At 33.5% G+C, this 23,629-nt stretch overlaps 1 protein-coding gene across 5 annotated transcripts in view; it reads right to left on the bottom strand.

Moving 5' to 3' along the window:
- MAN2A1 (mannosidase alpha class 2A member 1) overlaps positions 1-23,629 on the bottom strand; it is a 179,699-nt gene that overhangs the window by 70,861 nt on the left and 85,209 nt on the right. For all 5 annotated transcript variants that reach the window (XR_007058604.1, NM_002372.4, XM_011543395.4 and 2 more), the window contains 4 exons: positions 17,167-17,369; positions 13,839-14,021; positions 9,717-9,831; positions 9,238-9,305 (listed from right to left, as the gene is read on the bottom strand). Coding sequence is in view for 4 of the 5 variants with exons in the window: in NM_002372.4 (NP_002363.2) it covers positions 9,238-9,305; positions 9,717-9,831; positions 13,839-14,021; positions 17,167-17,369 (569 nt within the window). In the remaining variant the exon portion in view is untranslated. The remainder of the gene's footprint in view (positions 1-9,237; positions 9,306-9,716; positions 9,832-13,838; positions 14,022-17,166; positions 17,370-23,629) is intronic.

The following is a 23,629-nucleotide window of genomic DNA, read 5'->3' as shown; positions in this document are numbered from 1 at the left end:
GCTTGCAGTAAGCCGAGATTGTGCCACTGCACTCCAGCCTGGGCGACAGAGCGATACTCCATCTCAAAAACAAAACAAAACAAAACAAAACAAACAAACAAAACACAGAATGAAAAGGTCTAGCATGTGTTTGGATACGAGTTGAAAGTAAAAAAGACAAGATGATCAGGGTAGCCCCATAATTTATTGTCCAAACTAATTTTGAGAGTGAAAGAGGCTAATAGTGAAAAAACTGTCATATCTGGTCACTCTAAAATTGAAAGAGCTTGGGACCACAGAACAGGTTCAAGCAGGGAAGAGGAGTTCCGTTTTAAACACGGTGAAATGGAGCTGCTAATGGGCCATCCCAAGAGAGCTATCCACTTGGCCAGTGGGTCTAGAACTTAGGAGACTTTTCTCAGCAGAGACAGATGTTTGAGGAGTTAACAGTACACTGATAGTAAGTGAAGGCAATGGAATACGAAATATCACTCTCACCAGAAGTTGGTATTTTTTAAATCTTCTTGAAGAAAAACTATTATTTAGGATCTCCTATATGCTCCTGCCTCTCCACCTATTTCAGGCATTAATATAACCTGAAGCTGCAGATCCATGGTGCTGTTAAATTCTATCAAAACTAAATGGACACTTCTACCTTTAGTTTGACAATAAAATTGACAATAATGATTTAGATTTCACTACGTCTAATTGTTTCCAATGCCTTTTTAATTCTTCATTTTTAATTGCTAATTTTAATTCATCTATCAGTCAGCTGAACTGACCTCATCAAGAAATTTTTAAAATTTCTTTTTAAAAATATGGGAAGTGTGCCTGTGGTATAAGTGTTTTCATATCTGAAAATGTCTCTCTACTACCTTCACATATGAAAGATAACTTTGAGTATAAAATGATTTCAAAACTTCATAGTCTTCCTGTCTAAGTCAGTCTAGCGTTTGTTCTATATTATACAATATAGTCTTTCTGCCTGGGCACTTTTTTAATATGTCCTTTTTCCTTTTAGTTGAACTAAGTTACCATGGTGTACTCGGGGTGGCTCTTTTTTCATTTTTATTACCCAGCACTTATCCCTCTTCATCTATAAAGGGAGGCCTTTTCAGCTCAGAAAACTTTTCATCAATTATATCTTTGATCATTGCCTCTGCTGTATTTTTTCCTAAAGTTTTTTAATTCTTTTGTTGGAATCTTGTCCTCCATACCGATCATCATCTTCCTTCTCATTGTTGGCATTTGTCTTCCTTTTGTCTACATTCTTAAAAAAGTATCTCATGGACTTTTTTTTCACATCCATACCCTCTTTCAGTGTCAGCTTTACTCTTCAGCATCACTAGTGAAGATGGTCTGTTATTGCCCCTCCAACAATCTCTCCTTATCTCACTCCTCTCCTCTTCCAAATATTTTCATTTTCATTTTTTGTCATCTTTTTGTTTCAGTGTTTCACCTTGTTTCATATTTCTCAGAGATTATAACTCAAAACTTTTTGAGAGTTCCAGGTCCTCTTTTTTTAAAAAAATTTTCATCTGGTCTCTGTAATAAATCATTTTAATAAGTAAGCTACACTTCTGAGTCTTCATGCTGCACCCTATTTTTTAATCAGTCTGTAGAGCTTTTTCACAGCTCTCCTATGACAACCTTTCAATCACTTATCCTCAAAGAAGTAGACATTTACCTAGACTCTGTGTTTGCTAAAACTACCCTTGGTCCTTTTTATTTTGATATTAGCTGAAGTCCTTCTCTAACGTAGTTAGTTTATTTGACAAATATTTGTTGAACACCTACTGTGTGCCAGGTATTTGCCAGGGGATGCAAAACCAAACAAGCTCTCTACCCTCATGGAGCTGCTAGTCTACCAAGTGAGACACACAATAAGGAATAAATGACATGGCCAGTTTGTTAATAATGTCATGAAGGATGTAAAGAGGATTCAGTGATGGAGAAAAAGAGTGGGTGAATAATAGGCTCACATGCATGGATCCAGCCTGATCGCAAGTTTCCAAAAGGTTTAATATCCAAGGTGGCTGTGCCTGATTGGTATTCAGTCTTCTATACCAGCTCTGATTCTGAACAAAGGGAAGGCTTCTTTCTTCAACAAAGAATATCACAGTATTCTTGCCCATGCCACCACCAACAGCAATTTCCTTGAGCGGACTTTCCTAGCTCAATGATCTATCGTTAAGTTTCCTTGTTCCTGCCTACTTTATTTCTGGCAGATTTAGTCTCCAAATTGATTGCAAAATATGGACACAGTGGAAGCCCTTTCATCAATGTGATCAAGGCTGGCAATAGATCTATTAACAGAAAGAGTTAAAGTTGAGCTGAAAATAAAAGTTAAAGTAGAAGATCATTATGATATGTATGTGTTATTCTTAATATTTTACTTTACCATGAAATATATACATGTATCATATTCAAAATATGCAAATCCTTTGACTATGGAACCAGTAATTGGAGTTTTCATATTTTCTGCATAACCAAACATGTGATAATCTTCTGTGGTTCCAAGCTTAGGTTTCTCTAAAGTATAGCAAGAACTTAAACTCAAAAATGTTAAGAAAATCTGAGTGCAGCCGGCTTCTATATTTTTATGATTTCTTCCCAAATCTTTTGCAGTCATCTCGCCAACATTTATCAGTGACTCACCTTTGCTGAATATTTCCAAAGTCCTCAACTTCATAAAAAAGGGTTTTTATGTAATTCAACAGCGTAATAAAATGGTTTATGAGAAAAAAATAACAACAACTTGTTTAGGAATAAATAACTGATTCATGATAATCACACAACTGAAAGACTGGAGGGAGGGAAGTACATTGGCCTGCTAGCTAACAGCCTGTTAGCTACAAGGCCACATTACCATGGGCACTGAAAAGGAATGAAGAGTGTCAGTTGATCTACTTGGTCAATTAAATGAAGATGGTCAACAGAGACCTTAGGCAGGGAGGAAGAAGAGAAAAAAAAGAAAAGCTACCTAACTTCCTAATAGCCTCAAAAGTAGCACTCTTCCAATAGAAAAATATTTGTTCACTTTTCTAGTTGATATAATACCAGAATTTGAAAGCCTTGGGGGTAGACATTATGAAAAGGAAAAGGAATCATTCTCCATACTTGCTTTAAAAGACATGCAGGTTGCTTTTATTTCTAACTGCTTATCATTAATCAGCAAGTAATTGCATTTTTCAGACCAGTTCTATCAGCTTTGTAGTTTGTGGACATCTTAGATTGTGATAATACACTGACTGTCAAGCCAAGGTTTTGGTATTCCTACAACTGTTCATCATCTTCTACATTTTCATATGAGCTTTAATGGGAAACTAAGAGTCAGTCTCATGGTCTCTAGTCAGCCATCACGTAAACTGGAAGTGTCAACTATTTTTTTAATATAATAGATGTTATTTAATTTCAGTCAATGTGAGGTTGAAACAGTATGTCAGGAATTAATACTCATCATTCCTGATGTCATAAAATACATAGAAATGCTAAGGGTGGGAGGGACTGGAACAAAGGTGGAGCCTTTTCTCCTCATTTCCTCCCCAAGAGACCTTTATATTTTCTTGAAAAATTAGGCAAAATGTAATCCTGTGATGACTGAATTGGAATGGCAAACACCAAATAAGATTATTTTGTATTGCTACCAAGCCATGACTGCTCCAACACTAGTACCAACCACTAGTCAATGCAAATAATTTTTAACATAAAATTAACTAACGTAGCATCTTGCAGGTACCTTGAATTCCTTAAGAAACTTTTGGTTATTTACATAATATAACATATTCCATTCAGTCTTTTGGATAAAGCATCCTTTCTGAAAACACTCCAGTAGACTACAGACAAGATGAAAAGTGCTTCTGGATAATCAGGGAACTAGCCAACCTATACCTTGAAAAAAATCAGAGTTAACACATAACAGAGACAGAACATAGGTGAAAACATACAAATACCTTTTACAAGCAATATATATTTAAACAGAAAAGCATCCTAGAGGACAGTTTATAAACTCATCCTTCAAATCCAATAAAATTCATAAATACACTGTACTATTAATGCCTAGATACAACTAAACTAGACTGGAATACAGAATAGCTTAGTTTTTATGTGTTTAAGAGTCTCTAGGACCATCAGTTACTAATTCCCTCACCAAAAGAAAAGTTCAAAACAGCTTTATTTAAAAGGTAAAAATATCTCAGCTTTTCTCAAAATAACAGAAGCTGGAGAGGGTCCAGGATGTCAAATCCTGTATTCTATTATTGCCTTGAATTCTTTAGGATAATTAAAAAATATAGCCGACCAGTTTCAAGAAAGAAAACCTTTAATCTTACTGACTTTTTACACTCATTTTTCTGTTAACTAATGGAAAGACATTTCTATATACTAGTTTTCTAGTACGTGTCAAGGTTTAAGCTTAAACCATCATAATCCATGAGCTATTAAGGACAGTTCCTGGACTAATTATCGCAGCTAACACTTCCATCTCCTCCACAGTTGAGCACAAAGTGCGCTCCCTCTGTACACTAACAGCTCTTTCACCAGACTCACTTCTCAGACTAGAGCCGCCTTGGTTCAAGTCATGGAATCTCACTTCCGCCGTTAAGCTCCAAATGCCTCTATCAAATAATGCTGCCACAATCTGAGTGGTCAGAATTCTATTTTCCTAGAAATTCCATTTCCAAACAATAAAAATAAGGTTGCGAGTTTGGCTTCTTCATTTAAAACTTATGTGTAAACAACTGGTAGAGATATTAGATATTTTCTAAGACACATTCTTACTTGGTATAAAAATATATTGATAACATAAGAAAAGAAAAAAGCTAGCCTTGAATCCCATTAAACTAATAGATAATTAGTGCCAGAAGAATTGTTTACAATAACAATATTAAAAATACAAAATGTAGAATCAGGCTATGTTGATCATAACAATAAGTCTTACATATAAAAACCAATCTGATAAAGCCAATTCATTCAGCTATTTGGAACTATCTTTTATATCCATCCATTCTGAACATTCACCCAATATCCAATCTTAACGAAGTTAACTCTGTAAGAATGCAATGATGCTGAGATGCAATCTGAAATTTTTCAGGTCTCATGGTATAAAACTAAAATCTTAAATGGACAGTTATACAAATTCCAAGCTTTATTGAATTATGGTTTATCTTTATTTGTAACGGTCTTAAAGTTTACTTAGAAGCACTCTGGCACCCAACCTCCAAATATGAGACCAAAGAACCACCTGAGGAGAATATATACCAGGATACCACATTTTCACATAGAATGTGAACCATGTTCTTCTATGCATATCTGGTGTCTGAAGCTTAATATTCTCTTCAGTCAATATTTAAATGTATTTCAATGAATCTGTAATTACTCTTGCTATGTTGCATATAATACCACAGGCATGATGCTAGAAATAAAGAAATAATTCCTACTCTCAAGGAGTTTACAATCTACTGTGATTAACTTTAAATAATTATACTGGAAGAAACAAGCCAGCATTAACTGCCAGCCATATGAGTGACCCATTTTGGCCTGATCTAGGTAGAAATTTGGGGCTAATAGCATAATGGGATGAGACTTTGGACATCTTGGGAGGTGGGTGAGGTTACTCCGTACATGAAAGGTATGTGAACTGAGGTAGCCTATAGGTGAACTGTGATAGCTAGTCTCCGAAGATGACTACCATCATTCCCACTGCTTCCTATACATGCTCCTCACATCAGGAAATGGAGAGTAATTCCCTCCCCTTGAATCTTGGCTAACCTTAATGACTTCCTTGACCAATAGAATGTAATGAAAATGGCCTTCTAGGACTTCCAAAGCTAGGTCTTAAGAAGTCTTGCTGTTTCTACCCAGAAAACTCACTTTTGAGACTTTCAATCTTAAAACACTCCCCCTTGGAACCAGCCACTATGGTTAGAGAAGCCCAAGTCATATGGAGAGGCCATGTGTAAGTACTGGCAGCTAACAGCTCCAACTGAACCCTCAGCCAACAGGGAGCACTAACTTTCAGCAATGTATATGAGCCCTCCTGCACACTGAGCCCAGTCAAATCTTTGGGGAACTCCAGTCCCAATCTCCAATTGCCTGCAATGGTATGAGAGACCCCAAGCAAGAACTGACCAGCAGTTCTACAAAAACGTGGGAAATATAATAAATTGTATTTAAGACATTAAGTTTTAGATTAGTTTGTTAGGCAATAGTCTACTAAAACATTTGACCATCAGGTCAGACTTTCCTCAATAGGTAAGAAGAAGTACCTAGAGAATGCTGAATTTAGAAGTGACTTTCTCAGAGCTCTGTTTTTGGCTAGATTCCTCTGATAACTTCATGTAATAAATAAGGGGCATAGGAAATTGAAGACAAAAGGGTAAGAAGCTGTTGAAGTAATTCAGGCACGAAGTATGGCTTAGAACCAAAAAGTAACAGGAAAAGAGAAGATGCATTTCACAGATGAGAAAAAAAAGACTCTCCAAGTGATGAAATTTAAGGAATAATAAAAGGTAGAGGTCAAAGTAGGTTCTGGGATTTCAGAACCTAGATAACTAAAAAGATAACAATACTTTTAATCAAGACTGGCATCCAAAAGGAAAGCATGTATGGAGAAAATCAGAGGAACTTAAATTATTGGTGCTGGGAGGTCATCCAGGGAGAACCATTAAACAAGCCAATGGCAATGCGTTATGGGAGGGCTTTTCTTTTTATATCTTAGTTGATATTCTGAAGTATCTGTTTTCTACACAAAAACTACGAATCCACACATGATATAGCTCACATAACTGTGTGAACTAAATTAGGCATATCAACATGTACTAATGTCACTTTAAACAGATCTTGGACTACTTTTTAAATACTTACAAAGTTATGTTAGGTTTATTGCTATAACTAATATTGCCAACAGCATGATCAAATTTACGTGTATTATTTATATTCTATGGGTTTAAGTTAGTATTTCTCAATCTTTTTTACATTATCACCTCCCTAAGGACTCTTTTTAGACATTTACTAATCACCCACATACAATTTTAATGCCACACACAAACTGTTTACCTGTTACGTACTATATCTGTGCTTTATATATTAAAAAGAGTAAGATTTTCTTCAAATCCCCAAAAACCAATTTTCACTCTCTTGGAAAAAATATCTCCCCCATCGAGAATGCATGGTTTATTTAGAGAGATAATTTGTTACTCAAACAGGAACTGTGTTTATAACTAAAAAAAAAGCCAACCCTTACAACATTAAAGAAGACTCATGAAGAATATGACAAAGACTCACAGCCACACCTCTAAGGCTTCCAATTTAAAAACTGAAAAGGGCAATTATTTTACTTTCAGTACCTGCTAAATAAAACAATCAAATTCTTCCATTTTAAAGGCCACTATCATTCCTTCATTGTTCATCTATTTTTACTGACAGATCAGTAACTAAAATAATTTGCAGCTAACAAGTAAAATAGAGATTTTAAAACCTAAAATCTAAGAAGCCCTAACCTATAAAATGGATAATAAGCATAAAAACAAATAAGAATCTGCCAATCAGAAGTATTCCTAATTTACCAACCTACAGAAATAGGAAGTCAATATTTGATAAAAAAAGAACTGTAAAGAAGTAATAGGAAGATAAACCCTATACTATTTAAATAAAAACTATTTAAAAAGAAATATCAAAAAGCAATCATTTTACTAATAGCCCCCGAAATTCCATTTATGTTTACCTGTAGTTAAAACTCCTCAATATGAAAGCTTAAAAATATTTTTCTCTTTCATTAATATACTACATTTCCTAACTTTCTTCTTCTGGCATTAGAAAGGCAAAATTATCAATTATTGTTTGCTAAGGCAAAGACAGTGAAGGAAGGAGATAAACTAAAGGGAACATCTTTTCTTCTGACCTATTATGGTTCCAGCCCTGCCTCACTGCACCCAGCATAAGAGCACCCAGAGATGGGGCACAAATCACTTATATCAGCATATATTATTCTTATAACCAGCAAAAACAAAGATCTTCCTCCACCAAAATATAAAAAGAAAGAAAAGTTAATAGATGAGAGAACTATGCCTAAAGCCAAATAGATTTACTAATGCCAGAGTTTACTAGGAACACAATATTTAAGGAACAGGCATATAACCCCAAATGCATCAAAACATAACTTATTTTAAGACAAAGAAAACATTTTGTAATTTTATAAGAAATATTTCTTTCAGTGTCATTATCCTTTCATCCTAACTATGACCTGGCAATCTGAAAGCTCCTAAGGCTTCTGCCGTGTTACAGAGAACATTAGTATTACTAAAATAAAAAAACTTATTATCTCGTTCTAAGGAATAAGCTGTATACACCTTATGTCTCTACTTACTAAAGAAATTTAGACAACTAAGACTTTAGTCTATGCTTAACAAAAAGTCTCAACTTTACTAGCAACTATAAATTCTTTTTACATTCATTCCATTTATTTTTAAATAATTTTAATAAAATATATTTAGTTGAAATAATGAATTACTCTTTGAAATTATTGTTTTATCCTATAATTGGCAAGAGGAGGTACTAAATATCTTGATTCTGACAGTTAAAGGTTATATTACAAAAAATAACCACTGTGTGCCTGGGTCAACTAGGAAATGACCAACAAATATTTGGTTATTAAAAACAGATACCTTGCTGTTTAAAGAAATACCAATAAAACATAATGCATTTCTTTATAATTATTAGGTAGCCACCAATTAAATGCCCTGGTTTAAGGTCACTGAACACCCTTCCCATTTACTTTAGCATAAATCAATAGTGCTAAAACAAGGCTGTTTCACCAGCAAAATGACAGTTATCTAATAAACAATTTACAGTAGAAACCTTGATCTTCCAATAATAATAAAGTTTCTTCTTTCATATAAAAATAGGATCAGGGATTAATGAAAACAAGGTAGTTAAATGAAAGGTTAATCAAGAAAGGATATAATCTGAAAATTTTATAGAGATAAGAAAATGTTTTATAAGCTATATATTTATCATGCTATACCTTATATCTGTGAGAAATATTGTTATAATAATTTATTCAGCAGTCAATATACTAAGCACTGTGTTAGCTATTGGCACTGAGCATAACACAGTCATGAAAGAAAATCCATTTTTTAGGAGTTTTTTAATTAATAAATTGATTGCCTCAAAATATACGCTAACTAAAAACCAGAACCATAAAACCAAAAACTATTAAGCCAGAAAGTGGTAAACATTTGTAAGAAATTATGAATTTACCTTGGCTCCGCACTCAGCCTTATTATATTTTTTTGTGGCAGAGAATCTTGTGATTTTTGTTTCAAATCCTATAAAAATGAACAGTAATTTTTTAATTTTACTTAACACTCCATGGACTCATCCTGAAACCAGAAGACCATTCAAATTCAAGTTTAGGAGGAACAGATTAAGGACTTATAAAAAGTTAAATATCAAGGGGTTTCTAATTAAAGCCAAGCAAAACAACTAGTTATAATGCCCCAGTTGCCTTACTAACATCTTAATAGTATTCTAAAACCCTACATATTTCACATACTTTGAAATATTTATAGAAAAGATGAACATACAGGTAATTTATATTAAGTGATAAAAATTCTTTCAAATAATGTACAAAAAATTATATTTCAATGTCTTTTTTCATTAAGCTTCTCATCCTCTTTGCTAATGCAAGAACAATGGAATTACACATTTTTATGATGACCATAGATGAAATTACTAACCATCTCCAGGAAGGTATCAGGAGAGTAAGAGTCGTATGTGAGTTTGTCCTTCAAAATAAGAAGAAATGCAGAATTTCCAATTATCTTCTCCAAAACCATTAACGAATGAAAAAGTCTGTAAATCAAAAATTTTATTAGTCTGAGAAACAATTTAAAAATCTGCATACAATATTTTCAGTTTCATTACTAATAGCCAAACCACCAGTATCTTCATCTTGTATTCAAAGTGAAACCTATAATGAATCTATGACAAACCTGCTCTTTTTTCCCCTAGAACTAAGTACATCAGAAGATATAACTGACAAGAATCCATTTAAAACCGAAAGCTTTCTGGACACACCTGAAACACATAAACATAATCAAACTATGTATACTTTCTATGAATATCGCACCAAATAATAATATCCAGTAGGATCACCCCAATAACTTTGAAGCATTCTATCAAAAAAACAATGATTTGCTACTTTAGAAAAAGCTCTAACAAGGGTTTTAACAATGAATAAAAACATGAGATAATTCAGCTCACAAGAAAATTCAATTCGTATACAAGTCATACCCCAAGAATTAAAATAGATGTTTTGTTTAATTTAGTTTCATGTTCTTGTTCAAGAGAACCAGAACAAGAGTTTTTGACAGATGTGAATAATGAAATTGTCTTTATCCCTGTTAAATTTTTTGGTCACTGAAATTACTAACTATATTCAAATTGTATTTTTATGTCTAAGGAATCAAAAGTCTACTGATTCCAGACCAATTCTGAAATACATCCGCTACTGCTGAAGCATTACTCATGGAAAAAGAACTTGCTTGAAGATTTTTTTTTTTTTTTCCTAATTCAGTTACGTTTCTTGAAGGCTCTACAGACCAGGCATCCATAGGCAAATTCATATTGGAGAAGTACGTAGAAACTCCTCGCTAATCACGTTTTCAATTATATTATTTTTTCCAATACAGAAAGCAACTTTGGATCTATGCCTTGAAGACATTTTTGTTGTCATGCAACAACAACAAGAAAACCTATAAAAGAAGTTAACTTCTTTTTTGCAGAGCATTAATATTTCCTTCAGAGATGTAAGTGATCATGATCAATGTTATTAATTAAATACATTTACATGGCAAATCTATAATTTTAATGCTAAAATCTTATGGATTTGAGTTCATGCCATAATCTAACTAAACTTCCCAACATATTCAAATGTTTTCCTAGACAGCATTAAGTGTTTTCACCATACTAAAACACCATACGAATATGGTTCAGTTATGACAGCAAGACCCTCAATCTAAGTTCCTTTCTATTGTCTACAGGGCTATCTTTATTAGGCAGCCTGAATCTGCAGAGTGAAAGTCATGTTCTCCACCACCTAAAACCAGATGTATTAAAGAGTCCTAATTAAACTGAGTGAAAGCCAGGATCAATGTCTGCATCCTAAAGGCACACATGCAGCCTTCTCATAAGATGAGTACTAAAGACTACAGTATATCACTCCCCAAATGTTTTCTCAGGATGTATAGAGCTGCTTTGCTTAAAACAAAACAAAATGAAACACAGTACATTTGGGAAACATTGGGTAAAACAAAATTCTAAACGTTTCAACATTTCATTAATACAGGATTTTTTTCAGGGCCTCTAATTTCCAAACATACACTTATCCTATTAATACGGAATACGGTTCGGGAAAAATCACTTGGGAATCACAGTTTCTTAGTTTGCTGTTATGGTTGTTGTATTAAGGAGATGTTAGCATGTCTGCCACTATATAGTTTGTCTACATTTTAGGACCCTCACGCTCACCCTGTGTTCCGTTTTCTCCCACCTACCTTAATTACAAGTTAGGAATAATTAGCGGAATTCTAAAACATTTCTCTAAATGACCTCATTACCATTTCTTCTTCCCTTCTACATAAGCCACATTATCTATTAATACTTTTAAGCTGACTATTACAAACATTGTCCCAATCTAATTCATTTTTTTCATGCCATGATTAGAATTAATCTCCAAATATGCCATGATGTATTCTTGCTTTCCAGTTTGTAACTATATACACATTCGATCTATTGTTGACAGCATGCTCTCAGATTCCCCCTACTATGGCAGAGGAGAAAGAAGGGCCTGAATGCCTGATGACACTGCAGAGCTGCCATACCAGAACCAGTTGTCTACAGATTTTTTTCATATGACATAAAAATAAGCAGGACAGGATTTATTCTGTTTCTGGTTGCTATTACTCGCAGCCAAATGCACCCCTAATTCATAAACTTGTTCACAGTGATATTTCTGCCAAATTTGAATGAATAGTAGTCATCAGTCCAAGTTCAAGAGAACACCCAATACTAACTACCTCTTTGTTAATAATTCTCTAACTTATGTTTTGAAATTTCCTCCTTAAAATGTCTGTGCTAATGACTTGGTAATTGTTTATGACTTTTCAATGAACTGTGAAGTACTAACATAGCAAATTTACAAATGCCAAGTACAGTTTGAGACTTACTACCTTTTTTTCTCTAACACGCAATTCTACACGGGGAAGTTTTTATAAGCTAAAAGCAACACAAAACATATGGAGGAACCAATGATAGCTCTTCCAGACAGGTCAAGATACAAAAAATCTTCTGTAGCCAAAGCTCAATGACCTATAAGCAAATCTCTTTCGATATGACAGCCAGAGATAGCAAGTGGGCGGTGTAGGAAAATGACTTTTCTATGTCCTCTTAGGAGCTCTACCCTGGTCTGATTCTAAGCAGTCTCACTTTTAAACTCTCAACAAACCAAGCAGGCCAGGAGCAGGTAAGAAGGAAAAAAGGAGGATCTGACCTTACTTTCAAAAATGGTTTCTGTGGGAGAAATACCATCTTTATCATCTAATGAGGGTTTTCTACTTTAACCCCAGATCAACCTCGACAGGTGGGTGTCATATATATTTGCCATTAAAAAATGGAGAAGATATTCAAGATACTACTTTGAATGCATTTTTTAAGGACTGAAATCAACTAATGAAAACCCAAGAATATCTTTTTCCCCCAATTTCTAGAAAGCCAGTCAAAATATTGTAACTAAAAATTTAATTAACATTTACTACAATTAGTAATATAAGTCGTGAGTCAATTTTTTAACATTGATTTTATGTGTTGTATACGCTTTTCTCATCAAGGAGTAGTACTAAGGATATTCACTTTTAAAATCTATTCTTTAAGAAAATCACAGTATATTTTAAATGACTTTAAAATGTTATCAAAGCACAACACTGCTGATAAACAGTATCAGGAAGAATAGTCTAAACTACAGTAAATAAAATAGTCAAAACTCCTTCCCCAATCTAGGAATGCCCCCTGCACTGATCCTAATGAATGAATGGTCATCCAAAGGCTGGCGTGAGGATAGAGAACTCCCTACTACAAAAGGTAAGATTTCTTCCCCCTTATTAGGAAGCTCTGTTTGCCAAGTCCTCTGTTATCTCAGACCATGCCTATACTCATTGTTTCAAAGTCTTTAATATAGAAATAACTTAGCTTCTACTCCCTTGCCCATCTGAGAGCCCTTCAATGAGTTAAAGATGGCTTTGATACCAACACCCAGGTCATCCTTTCTCATTCCCAATGGCTTATATCATCCACATATGATAAGGTTTATAGGTCTTTTTCCTTCCTGGCTATGCTTCTCAGCTTATTATGTCAATATGCCTCTTAAAAAAAAAAAAAGAAGTATACAAGAACAATTGGATATGAAATAGGATGAGATTAAACTGACATACAATGAAGTAGGAATCTTTATCTCTCTACATTATAACTATGTTTTATTTGATGCCAAGTCCTTGGTCAAGAAGATAACTCCAGTCTCCACACTGTTATTTAGAAGAAAATAGGATCAGCTTTAAACAGTAGTAATAATATTTTACTACCCTATTTGCAGAAATGCATTGCAATAAAAAGTTGGTGCAGCTGGGACTCTGTCAACAGATTTCTTAATATTTGAATATCAGTGCTGTTTTGATACAGTAATACTTATGAGGGATATCATTGTTAATGTGGTTTGATATACACTAACAACTTCACCAAAAGATATAATCTTATTACCCATAATTTTAATGATTTTTTTAAAGATGATTTTTCTATAATTAGATTACCTGGTACCATAATCCACAACCACCCAGTCTTTTGCAGTTCCTGTGATAGCATCATGATGTTGAAACAGTCCCAAATTCCTTCTGGCTTCTGTCAGTGCCGTGTAAAGTGATGATGAGAGAAATTTATTTATCTTGTATTTGTGAGCTTGTCTCAGGGCGAAATAGTAAAGAATTTCAGCAGCCCTAATTGCATAAAAGTCATATTTTTATTTTAAAACAAACACTTTAGCTTATAATCTAAAACTTGTGACATTGATACTTTACAAATTTTTTAATCCATAATTGCAGTACAAGCAATTTATGAAAAAGATATTGGTAATAATAGTTCATATAAAACAACCAATGTATCCCGTATAACACATTTACGTTCTCAATCATCAAAGAATACCATGTCTACACTGGTATCAGGAGTCCTTGTTCTAGATGATCCTGAAAAAGAAGCCAGAACCTGTTGGCAGCAAGACAGGCTTATTTATGAATAGCACAGTGAAAAAAATCTGAAAAATTGGATAAATTTCTCTGTCCTTTCTTCTCTCCAAGAGCAACACACACATAGACCATGAACATCACCAGAATATCATTTACTCTCACATATACACATTAAGAGAAATGAGAAAGAAAGGCATGGTCGGTGAGCGGGACACTCAGAGGAGAGGAGAGGCAGAAAATAATGGCCCAAGAATAGTTCAGGGGAAAGGGTTAGTTTCAGTTTTGAATGATAACATATAACAAATACAGAGAATTTAACAATACAAACTGAAAGATGATAAACAGTATGTCGGCTGGGCATGGTGGCTTATGCCTGTAATCCTAGCATCTTGGGAGACCAAGGCAGGAAAATCACTTGAACCCAGGAGTTCAAGACCAGCCTGGACAACATAGAGAGACTCTATCTTAGCCAGGTGTAGTGACATGCACCTATAGTCCTAACTACTCAGGAGGCTGAGGTGGGAGGATCACTTGAGCCCAAGAGTTTGAGGCCGCAGTGAACTAGGATCACACTACTACACTCCAGCCTGGGCAACAGAGCAAGACTCTGTCTCTTAAAAAAAAAATGTCCTTTGTAGTATATTTTAAAGGAAAAAACCTTCAGTCTAAGAAGAACATGGGGGCTATAATTTCCACCTTTTATGTTTTTTCATCAGAGGATATGGCTCAAGATAAGTTTTTCTTAAAAACTTATTTAAAAGGAGACATGGCTTGATGAAGTAAAAAGTATAAGAAGGTTCTATACACGAAACATGTTTTAAGGACAATGCAGACAGAATCAAGGCAACTTGAAAATGTTATCAAGATTCAGAAAAGAGGAGACACTAGAAATACTTTGTTTGTAAAATGATGCATTTCTCTAAACTGTAGAAATAATCAAAGGAGAGTAAACAATCTCCACTTTTAAATTCTAATCCTTCCAAAAATCATGAAGTAACAATCACTAAGCTTGAATTAACTAAATTGTGTATCTATGTTAACGTATATCCATGGCAAATATTCCTGGTTTTAAAAGGAGTACATATGCATATCCAGACACCCTAAAATGTTAAAAAGAAGATTTGGGAAATATTGTCTTCCCTATACTTTTATATTTTATCCACATTTTGCAAATGAGCAGAGAGATGAAATATTACTATTTTCAGACAAACTTATGTATAAATAAATACATTTGGAAAGTCATAACTATTGTATGGTTTTTTGGTTTGTTTTAATGCAGCAGGATTTTCCAAATATATTACTAGCAGTAACCACAATGCCTTGAATATGTTCAATAAATTAAGATAAACCAATATTCTTTTTGGCACTTAAAAATCACTAATTCAGTGGTCCAAAACGATCTCTACATTATTGAGAATATAACCCACTTTATAACAGAAAAGTTTAGAATAGTATAAGAGATAACTGGTTGATATTCTGTAGGGTAAGAATGGATAGTCACTATAATATGTAAACATTATTTTAAATTTAATAAGATATATTCCATTACCTCAAGCAGTTATTTCTTTGTAAGAAACATTCCAATTCTACTTTTAGTTATTTTGAAACACATAAATGATGAATATACAAATTACGATTTGATTATATACTGTATGCTTATATCAAAATATCACATGTACTCCATAAATATGTACAACTAATATGTATCTATAATAATGAAAATAATTTTTTAAAATGAGACATTTTTCTGGCATATTACGAGTAACAGTAAAAGGTTAGGCTTTTGAAATAGTATTTAATAGCAGCACAATATTAACAATAAAAAACTACCATATAAAAATACAACTCTTAAATTCATAATTTTTAATAAAAAGCCTTTCCAAAATGTAACCAATGTCCACTAGTATATAAAAGACGGTAAGTACAATCTAACTCAAACATCAAGATTCATCATGAAAATGAATTACTTTACTGGTCTATACATAGAGAAAACTTTGGGAGCCTCTGGAGTAGTTTTAACTTTATCAACAACCAGCCTCCGTTAGTTACTTAGGACCATGCTCTCCAATATGGTAGCCATAGCCACACATGGCTATTGACATTTAAATTAATTAAAATTAAATGGGCACATTTCAAGTGCTCAATAGTCACATGTACCTAATGACTATATTTTGGACAGTGCAGAAATAGAACCTATCACTATAGAACATTCTATCAGTGATTGAAAGTTCTCCTGGATAGTGTCAGTTTAGTGTTTTTATGTCTTCTACAGACTTTTCTGTCTTCTCTGTATCCATTTACATTTTCAATCACTATCTGACCCATCAGTCATCATTTTTTCAAATGTTGTTCTTCTATGCAGATGACTGTGCCTATAGAAATGTGCTTCAAATAAGTATGTAAGAACTGAGATGAAGCCTAGTCTAAAGTTCTCCCACATACAAAATACATTAGTTTTGGACTGTGAACTTTGAAGCTCACGTTTGGCTGCTGGGAGGCCCTATTTCCTTCTTTGATGCTCACCTATGTTTCCAATGAGAAGCCTATCAGATTACCAGCCTGCAGACACTCATGATGGTGTCACTGAATATTAATATGGTGTGCAAATAACACAGGTAAATTAATTAGAAAAATACAAAATGTAGAATACAACTCCTTAAAAATCTAATTTAAATAAACTATTTTTTCTTCCAGAACAAAAACCCATGTAATAATTTGATTGTAGTTTGGAGACGTATTTCTGATTGCATTAAAATTTCACAATTACACTAAGTGCTTAATTAGAGCTTAACACTACATAATGTACTACATGAATGATGTATATTACGTAAAACTCTACAAAAAGATTATGATAATATAAAGTGAAAAAATACATGTAGCTATAGAAAGGTAAAAGTACCTTAAATGAGATTCCATGATTCTGTCCATTCGTTTGTAAAAGGGTCTGGATGTAAAATAGCCACTCCAGTAATGATCATCTCGATCGGCATAAGTGAAAAAATCTCCACTTAAAACAGGGAACATCGATTGGCCCTTGTCTCTCTGAGTTTCATCTGCTTTATCCAGCGCATCAAAAAAATCTGATAAAGTTCCAAACTGTATCTAGTTTTAAAAAAATGCACTTCAATTATTCATTCTATCTTAAAATTATTTACTTCTTACACTGTTAGGGAAAGTTAATAATAAATATTTAACATGTGTTTCCAAGTTAAGATGAATACATAGCTCAGATTTTATAAAAATCAGAAGCAGGGAAGAAAATAATAGTGACTTTTTTTTTACTTACATTAAGGCCCAAATTAAACTAAGGGAAAACTTATACACTTCAGCAGTTAAAAGGAGAGCTATTTAGATCTACAAATCAGTGAATATGAAAACTCCTACATATCTCTAGAATTTCAAAGTGTACAATGATTTGGGCATGGATTAATCCACATAAATGAAAGATGAGGGCAGCAGCAAAAATAAAAGACATATTAAAGTGTTCCAGAAGTCTACAATAACAGTTTTATTAGCCATAAAGTCTAGAAGAATAATTCTGTTAGCCATAAGGTATTTCATATATCATACCCTCCTCTATCTCCGTTTTCCCCCAGTTGAGTTCTTGTGAAGGAGAAGGGACTTTAAGAACAGCAGGTCATTTTAAAAAAATGAACTTACTCTACCAGTAGGTAACACTGAGTAGAAGTTAAATCCAAGGAGTGCTAAGAATGGCAAGTCTGGCTGCTTAAACACACCGGTCTTTCTGACTAATGATTTAAATCAGCAGTAAGAAATTCGTTTTTATGAGTTCAAACTATTCTACAAATCAAAGACAAAAAGAAACACGATACCAAATCTTGTAAACAGATATTAAAAGGCAGTCCTGTCAAAAATAAACAGATTATTTAACAGGGAATGTGTTCCTTTTAAAAGAAAGATGCGGATTTTGTTGTTTCCTACACACATACACACACACACACACACACACACACACACACACACACAGATATTGCAAGTCATTTTGATTCAAGGTAGCAATAGCATAGCTTTGAATTCCATCTCTACCACTTATCTGACATGTGTTTTGAGCATATTACATAACTTCTCTGTCTATCCACGTTACAGTGAATAGGGCTCTAAGAAAAAAGCTTACAACTGGCCGGGTGTGGTGGCTCACGCCTGTAATCCTAGCACTTTGGGAAGCTGAGGCGGGTGGATCATGAGGTCAGGAGATGGAGACCATCCTGGCTAACACAGTAAACCCCGTCTCTACTAAAAATACAAAAAAAAATTAGCTGGGTGTGGTGGCAGGCACCTGTAGTCCCAGCTACTCGGGAGGCTGAGGCAGGAGAATGGCGTGAACCCAGGAGGCCGACCTTGCAGTGAGCAGAGATCACGCCACTGCATTCCAGCCTGGGTGACAGAGCGAGACTCCATCTCAAAAACAAACAAAAAAAAACTTACAACCATGACTGGCCAATAATGGTATAAATTTAGCTATCACTTATTCACTGCAAAGACAAAATTGCGACTGGAACATTTACAACAATGATACTGATAAGGCAAATATAAGTGACTGTAATCTAGTTGTGGTGCAATATATTTTTACAGCAAAATAGATGATTATTTCTAAATCCTTATGTTTATATTAAAGATAAGCAATTTTCAACTGTATTCAATTTGGTGTAGCCAATGTATCTTGGCTTCACCAAACAGAGAGTGATCTTGGGCAAGTTAATCTATTTGTGCCTCAATTTCCTCATCTACAATGGGAACAATCATAGGACCTACCAGAAAATGTTCAGATAACTAAATAAGTTAAATAAAGTACTTTAAGCAATTTACAGCAAATAATACGCACTCAATATGTTTTAGCTAACACTAAGAGTATTATTACTCACAAGCATTACTAGGAAGAAGACTGTGTGTGTTTGTGTGTGTGTGTGTGTGCACGCGTGTGTGTGTGTAACCATAAAAGAAATGAGTCACGAATAGAAGGAAATATGGCATTAACTTCATATCCAGCAGATACAGATGAGCTCAGGAAAGTATAAATAATAAGAGTGACAAAATAGTCTACGATCTAAATATTTCTGAGTCTCACTTTCCTCAAACATAAAACAAAGGATTTTATTTAGACAATAAAAACCATTTTGAACTTCAAAGTTTAGAAATCTATAGCATGCTACAGAATTAGTATTAACAATAAAGTATACCCTTTGAAAATATTTCAATTAGTTTTTGGTATGAGCCAAGATAAAAATACTTCCTTCTTGGCAATGTCCCAGAGCAGTTTAGATAAGTAGCCTAGTAGGCTTTCTCAAAAACTTAATTCAATCTTTAAGGGTAGAAAAATAACTCAGTACCTGTGCTAGAGTATTTTTTAAAGTAATTATTTAAAGTAAATTTCTCTAGAAAGTCTCTTGGTAGCTCATAAAAAGTAAATATTTAGGACACCTTTAAGAATAACCAAATAAAAATATTCACATGGTTTTTACATTAAAAGGCAACAACTTTAATCTTAAATGTAAGAATTCTATCAGGACAACACATAAGAAAAATTACAAAAATTGTTAAATGATGATCAAATGGCAAAATGACTGTCTTGGCTATTCCACGTCAATTTTTCAGCCATCTGAACTCAGTTATTTACTTTTGTTCTCCAGTTCATTAAAAGAAAATATTAAATTTATGCTTCCAGTTCAGACAAAGTAACTTTAAGTATCCCACAAGAAACAGATATAACTAGATAAACTGTAGAAAGAAAAAGCTTTGAAGACATTAAAGAACTAAAGCAGCCAGAACTTAAGGGATAAAAATGTTGGAGAGAAAGAAAATGCATTAAGGTGGACCCTATACTCTACCAAATTTTCATCTTGGGGTACTGGTTCAATCATTGCACAAGACATAAAGGCCTAACACAAAGCAATGTCCTAGAAGAAGAAAATAATAAAATTTAGTATCTGGTCATGAAAAAACACTCTGTAAATGAGGAATATAAGGAAAATTCCATAATCTGATAAAGGGAATCTACAAAATTCTACAGCAAACATTATGACTAACGAATGTTTTCTCTCTTAGAAAATTATGTCTGCTTTCACCACGCCTACTCAACATTATACTAGAGGACACAGCCATTGTACATGGTAAGAAAGTAGATGGAAAGATTTAAAGCTTTGGAAAGGAAGACATATATATGCCATTACTCATATATAGGAAATCCATAAAGAATCCACAAATAACTAAAAATAATAAATAAATTTAACAAAGTTACTGGATACAAGGCTAAAATGCAAAAATCAATTGCATTAATACACAAAATACACCACGTTCATCGATTAGATGGCCCAATAATTGTAGTTATTTGTGCTCAAATCAAACCAAAGATTCAATGCAATCCCACTCAAAATCCCCTTCAATTTTTTTTTTTTTGGTAGAAATTTAAAAGATGACCTACACCTATGTAGAATTACAAAGGACTAACAGTAACCAATGCAATTTTGGGAAGGAGAACAAACTGGAAGACTTTTACTATCAGATATTAAAACCTATTATAAAACTGTAGTGTTAATAATTAAGACAGTGTGAGATGAGTCAAACAGACCAATAAAAGTGAATAGAGAGTGTAGACACAGACCCACACACAAATGCAGTCTCATTCATGATTAATGACAAAGATGACACTGTGGTGCTGTGGAAGAAAGTATGGTCTTTTCAATAAATGGTGCTGGATATCTATATAAGCCAAAATGTATCTTGATCCCTACCCTCACACAATTCACAGCAATCCATTTCAGATAGATTATAGACCTAAATGTTGAAGGCAAGACAATTAAGCTTCTAGAGGATAGCTTCATAAGAATGTAGCTTCAGAACCAAATGATAAACAAAAATTTTTCAAACAGAACAAGTTCTAAACATAAAGAAAAATAGTTATATTTGATTAATTAAAATTAAAAATTTCTGTTCATCAAAAGACAGCATGAGAAAGTGAAAATGCAGGCTACATAGTAGGAGACAACATTTGCATAACTTTTATATGAAAAAAGATAGAATTCAAAATGTACCAAAGAGCTATAAACAGTAAGAAAAAGACAACCCCAATTTAATTAAAAAATCATCAAAAGACTTAAATAGGTACTTCACAAAAGAGGATACTCAAATGGCAATAAACATATGAAAAGAGACTCAACCTCATTAACCACAGGAGAAATAAAAAATAAAACCATCCCATCTATCAAAAGGATAAAAATGGAAAACAAAAATCCTGACAATACAAACTGAGAAAGGGTGTGGAACAACTGAACCTCTTGTACAACACAATTGATGCATCTATTTTGGAACAGTTTGGCAATATATACTAAAGCTGAACATGTGCATACTCAATGGCCAAAAAATTACATCCCATTTTATACCCATGTAAACTCATAACAAGTAACCAAAACATGGACAAAATATTCAAAGCAGACTTATTTGTGATAGACAAAAACTGGGAACAATCCCAAATACCCAATAACAATACAATGAATAAACTGTGGTATATTCATCAAAAAATGAATACTAGAGATACTACACAGTACTAAAAAGGAATGAACTACTGCTACCTGCAACAGAATGGATGACTCTCGCAAACATAATGTGAAAAGAAAAAGCCAGACACAAAGTACATGTGTATGGTCCCCATCGTATAAAATTCAAGAACAGGCAACAGTAATCATGGTGACAGATGTGAAAGTAGTGGTTGCTTTTGCGGCAGTTGGTGATGACTGGAAAGAGATCTGAGGGACAATAAAAGTTCTAAGCCTTAATCTGGATGATGGTTACATGGAGACTTTTAAACTTGCAAAATTCTATGCACACTTATGGTTTGTCCACTTCTTCTATGTATGTGGCACTTCAATTTTTTAAATGACTTTTAAAAAACTGTTCTAGTAGGCAAAGGATGAAATAGGTAGAATACTAAAATCAGGGTCTAATTTTTTCAGTCAGACAGGAGACCAGATGCTTCTATGAACCAAAATCACTTCCTAGTAAGATGTAATTACAGATAAGATACTCATATATATATCCCTTCCTCTGATCACATATTCATGTATGAGCATCATCTCTCAGGAAAATACACGGATAATTTAAACATACCCCTAGGATCCGAGTTCATAATCTGATAAAAATTCAGCTGTAACAATCCTGAATAAACTTGATATTTTATTAGGTTTATTTATCTATTTGATATTACTTAGGTTTATTTAATAAACTTGAATTCTTACTAAACTATAGTTCACCATCAGCTTTCAAATTTCCTAAACAGTAATATCACTTCCTTTCTATAGTATTTTCACAGATGTTCTACTTTTACATGTCAATATGTGAAATAATAAACATGCTGAATAATTAATCTTCTTATGTAGAGTCTCTAAGACACATTTAAAAAGAAAAAAAAAAAAAAGACTTTAAAAGCCTGTTGTCCCAACACAAACAAATGATAAAAGTTTGAAGTGGTAGATATCCTAAATACCCTGATTTGATCATTATACATTCTCCGCATGTATCAAAATTCATAGGTGTCCCATAAATATATATAATTATGTATCAATAAAAAATCAATTTTGTAATTAAAAACTTGATCAAATGCAATATATGATTATTGCTTGAATTTTGACTCAAACAAAGCATGTGTTAAAAGAATTGTTTTTTATGAGATGAGGAAAATTTGAATCTGTCCAGATATGTATCATGAAATTATTGTTAGTTTTTTAGGTGTGATAATGGTATTATCGTTATATTTTTAAACAGAACTTTTATAATTTAGAGATACATACTGAAATATTTACAGGTGAAACTATATGAAACCTGAGATTGGCTTCAATATAATCCTATGGGGAGGAGTGAGACAGCAGTGTGGCATGGCTGAAACAAGAGTGGTCTTGAGTTGAAGAATGCTGCAGCTGAGCCATGGATATGGGGAGAAGGGGAACAATTTTTGCTATTTTCAGAACTTTACAGTACATTTTAAATTTTCCATAAGAAAAAAAAAAAGAGTAAGAACCATAGGCAAACGATTAATTTTAGAAGTCTTCTCACTTAAAAAAAAATGTTAGTGTATTCTCTGGACATAGGACATTTGTTTGCAAAATTCATGACATGTTCATCTGCATCTGCCAGTCATGCTACTAAATCACAAGGATGCAGCTGTCAGAGAGAAATAACAGACTTTCAATGTTGGTAAAAAAACAAAACAAAACAAAACAAGCACAACAAAAACAGTAAGTCCCTGAAGACTAAATATCACAACTTGGTAGGTACATATTTTCAATCACATAAAAGTAAATTCCTCTTTAATCCTCAAGGAGTGTTAGGAACGGGACAACTTTAGATATGGA

This window comes from Homo sapiens, chromosome 5 (assembly GCF_000001405.40).
Source record: "Homo sapiens chromosome 5, GRCh38.p14 Primary Assembly".
Lineage (NCBI taxonomy): Eukaryota > Metazoa > Chordata > Mammalia > Primates > Hominidae > Homo > Homo sapiens.
This window is presented reverse-complemented; position numbering and strand designations above follow the sequence as displayed.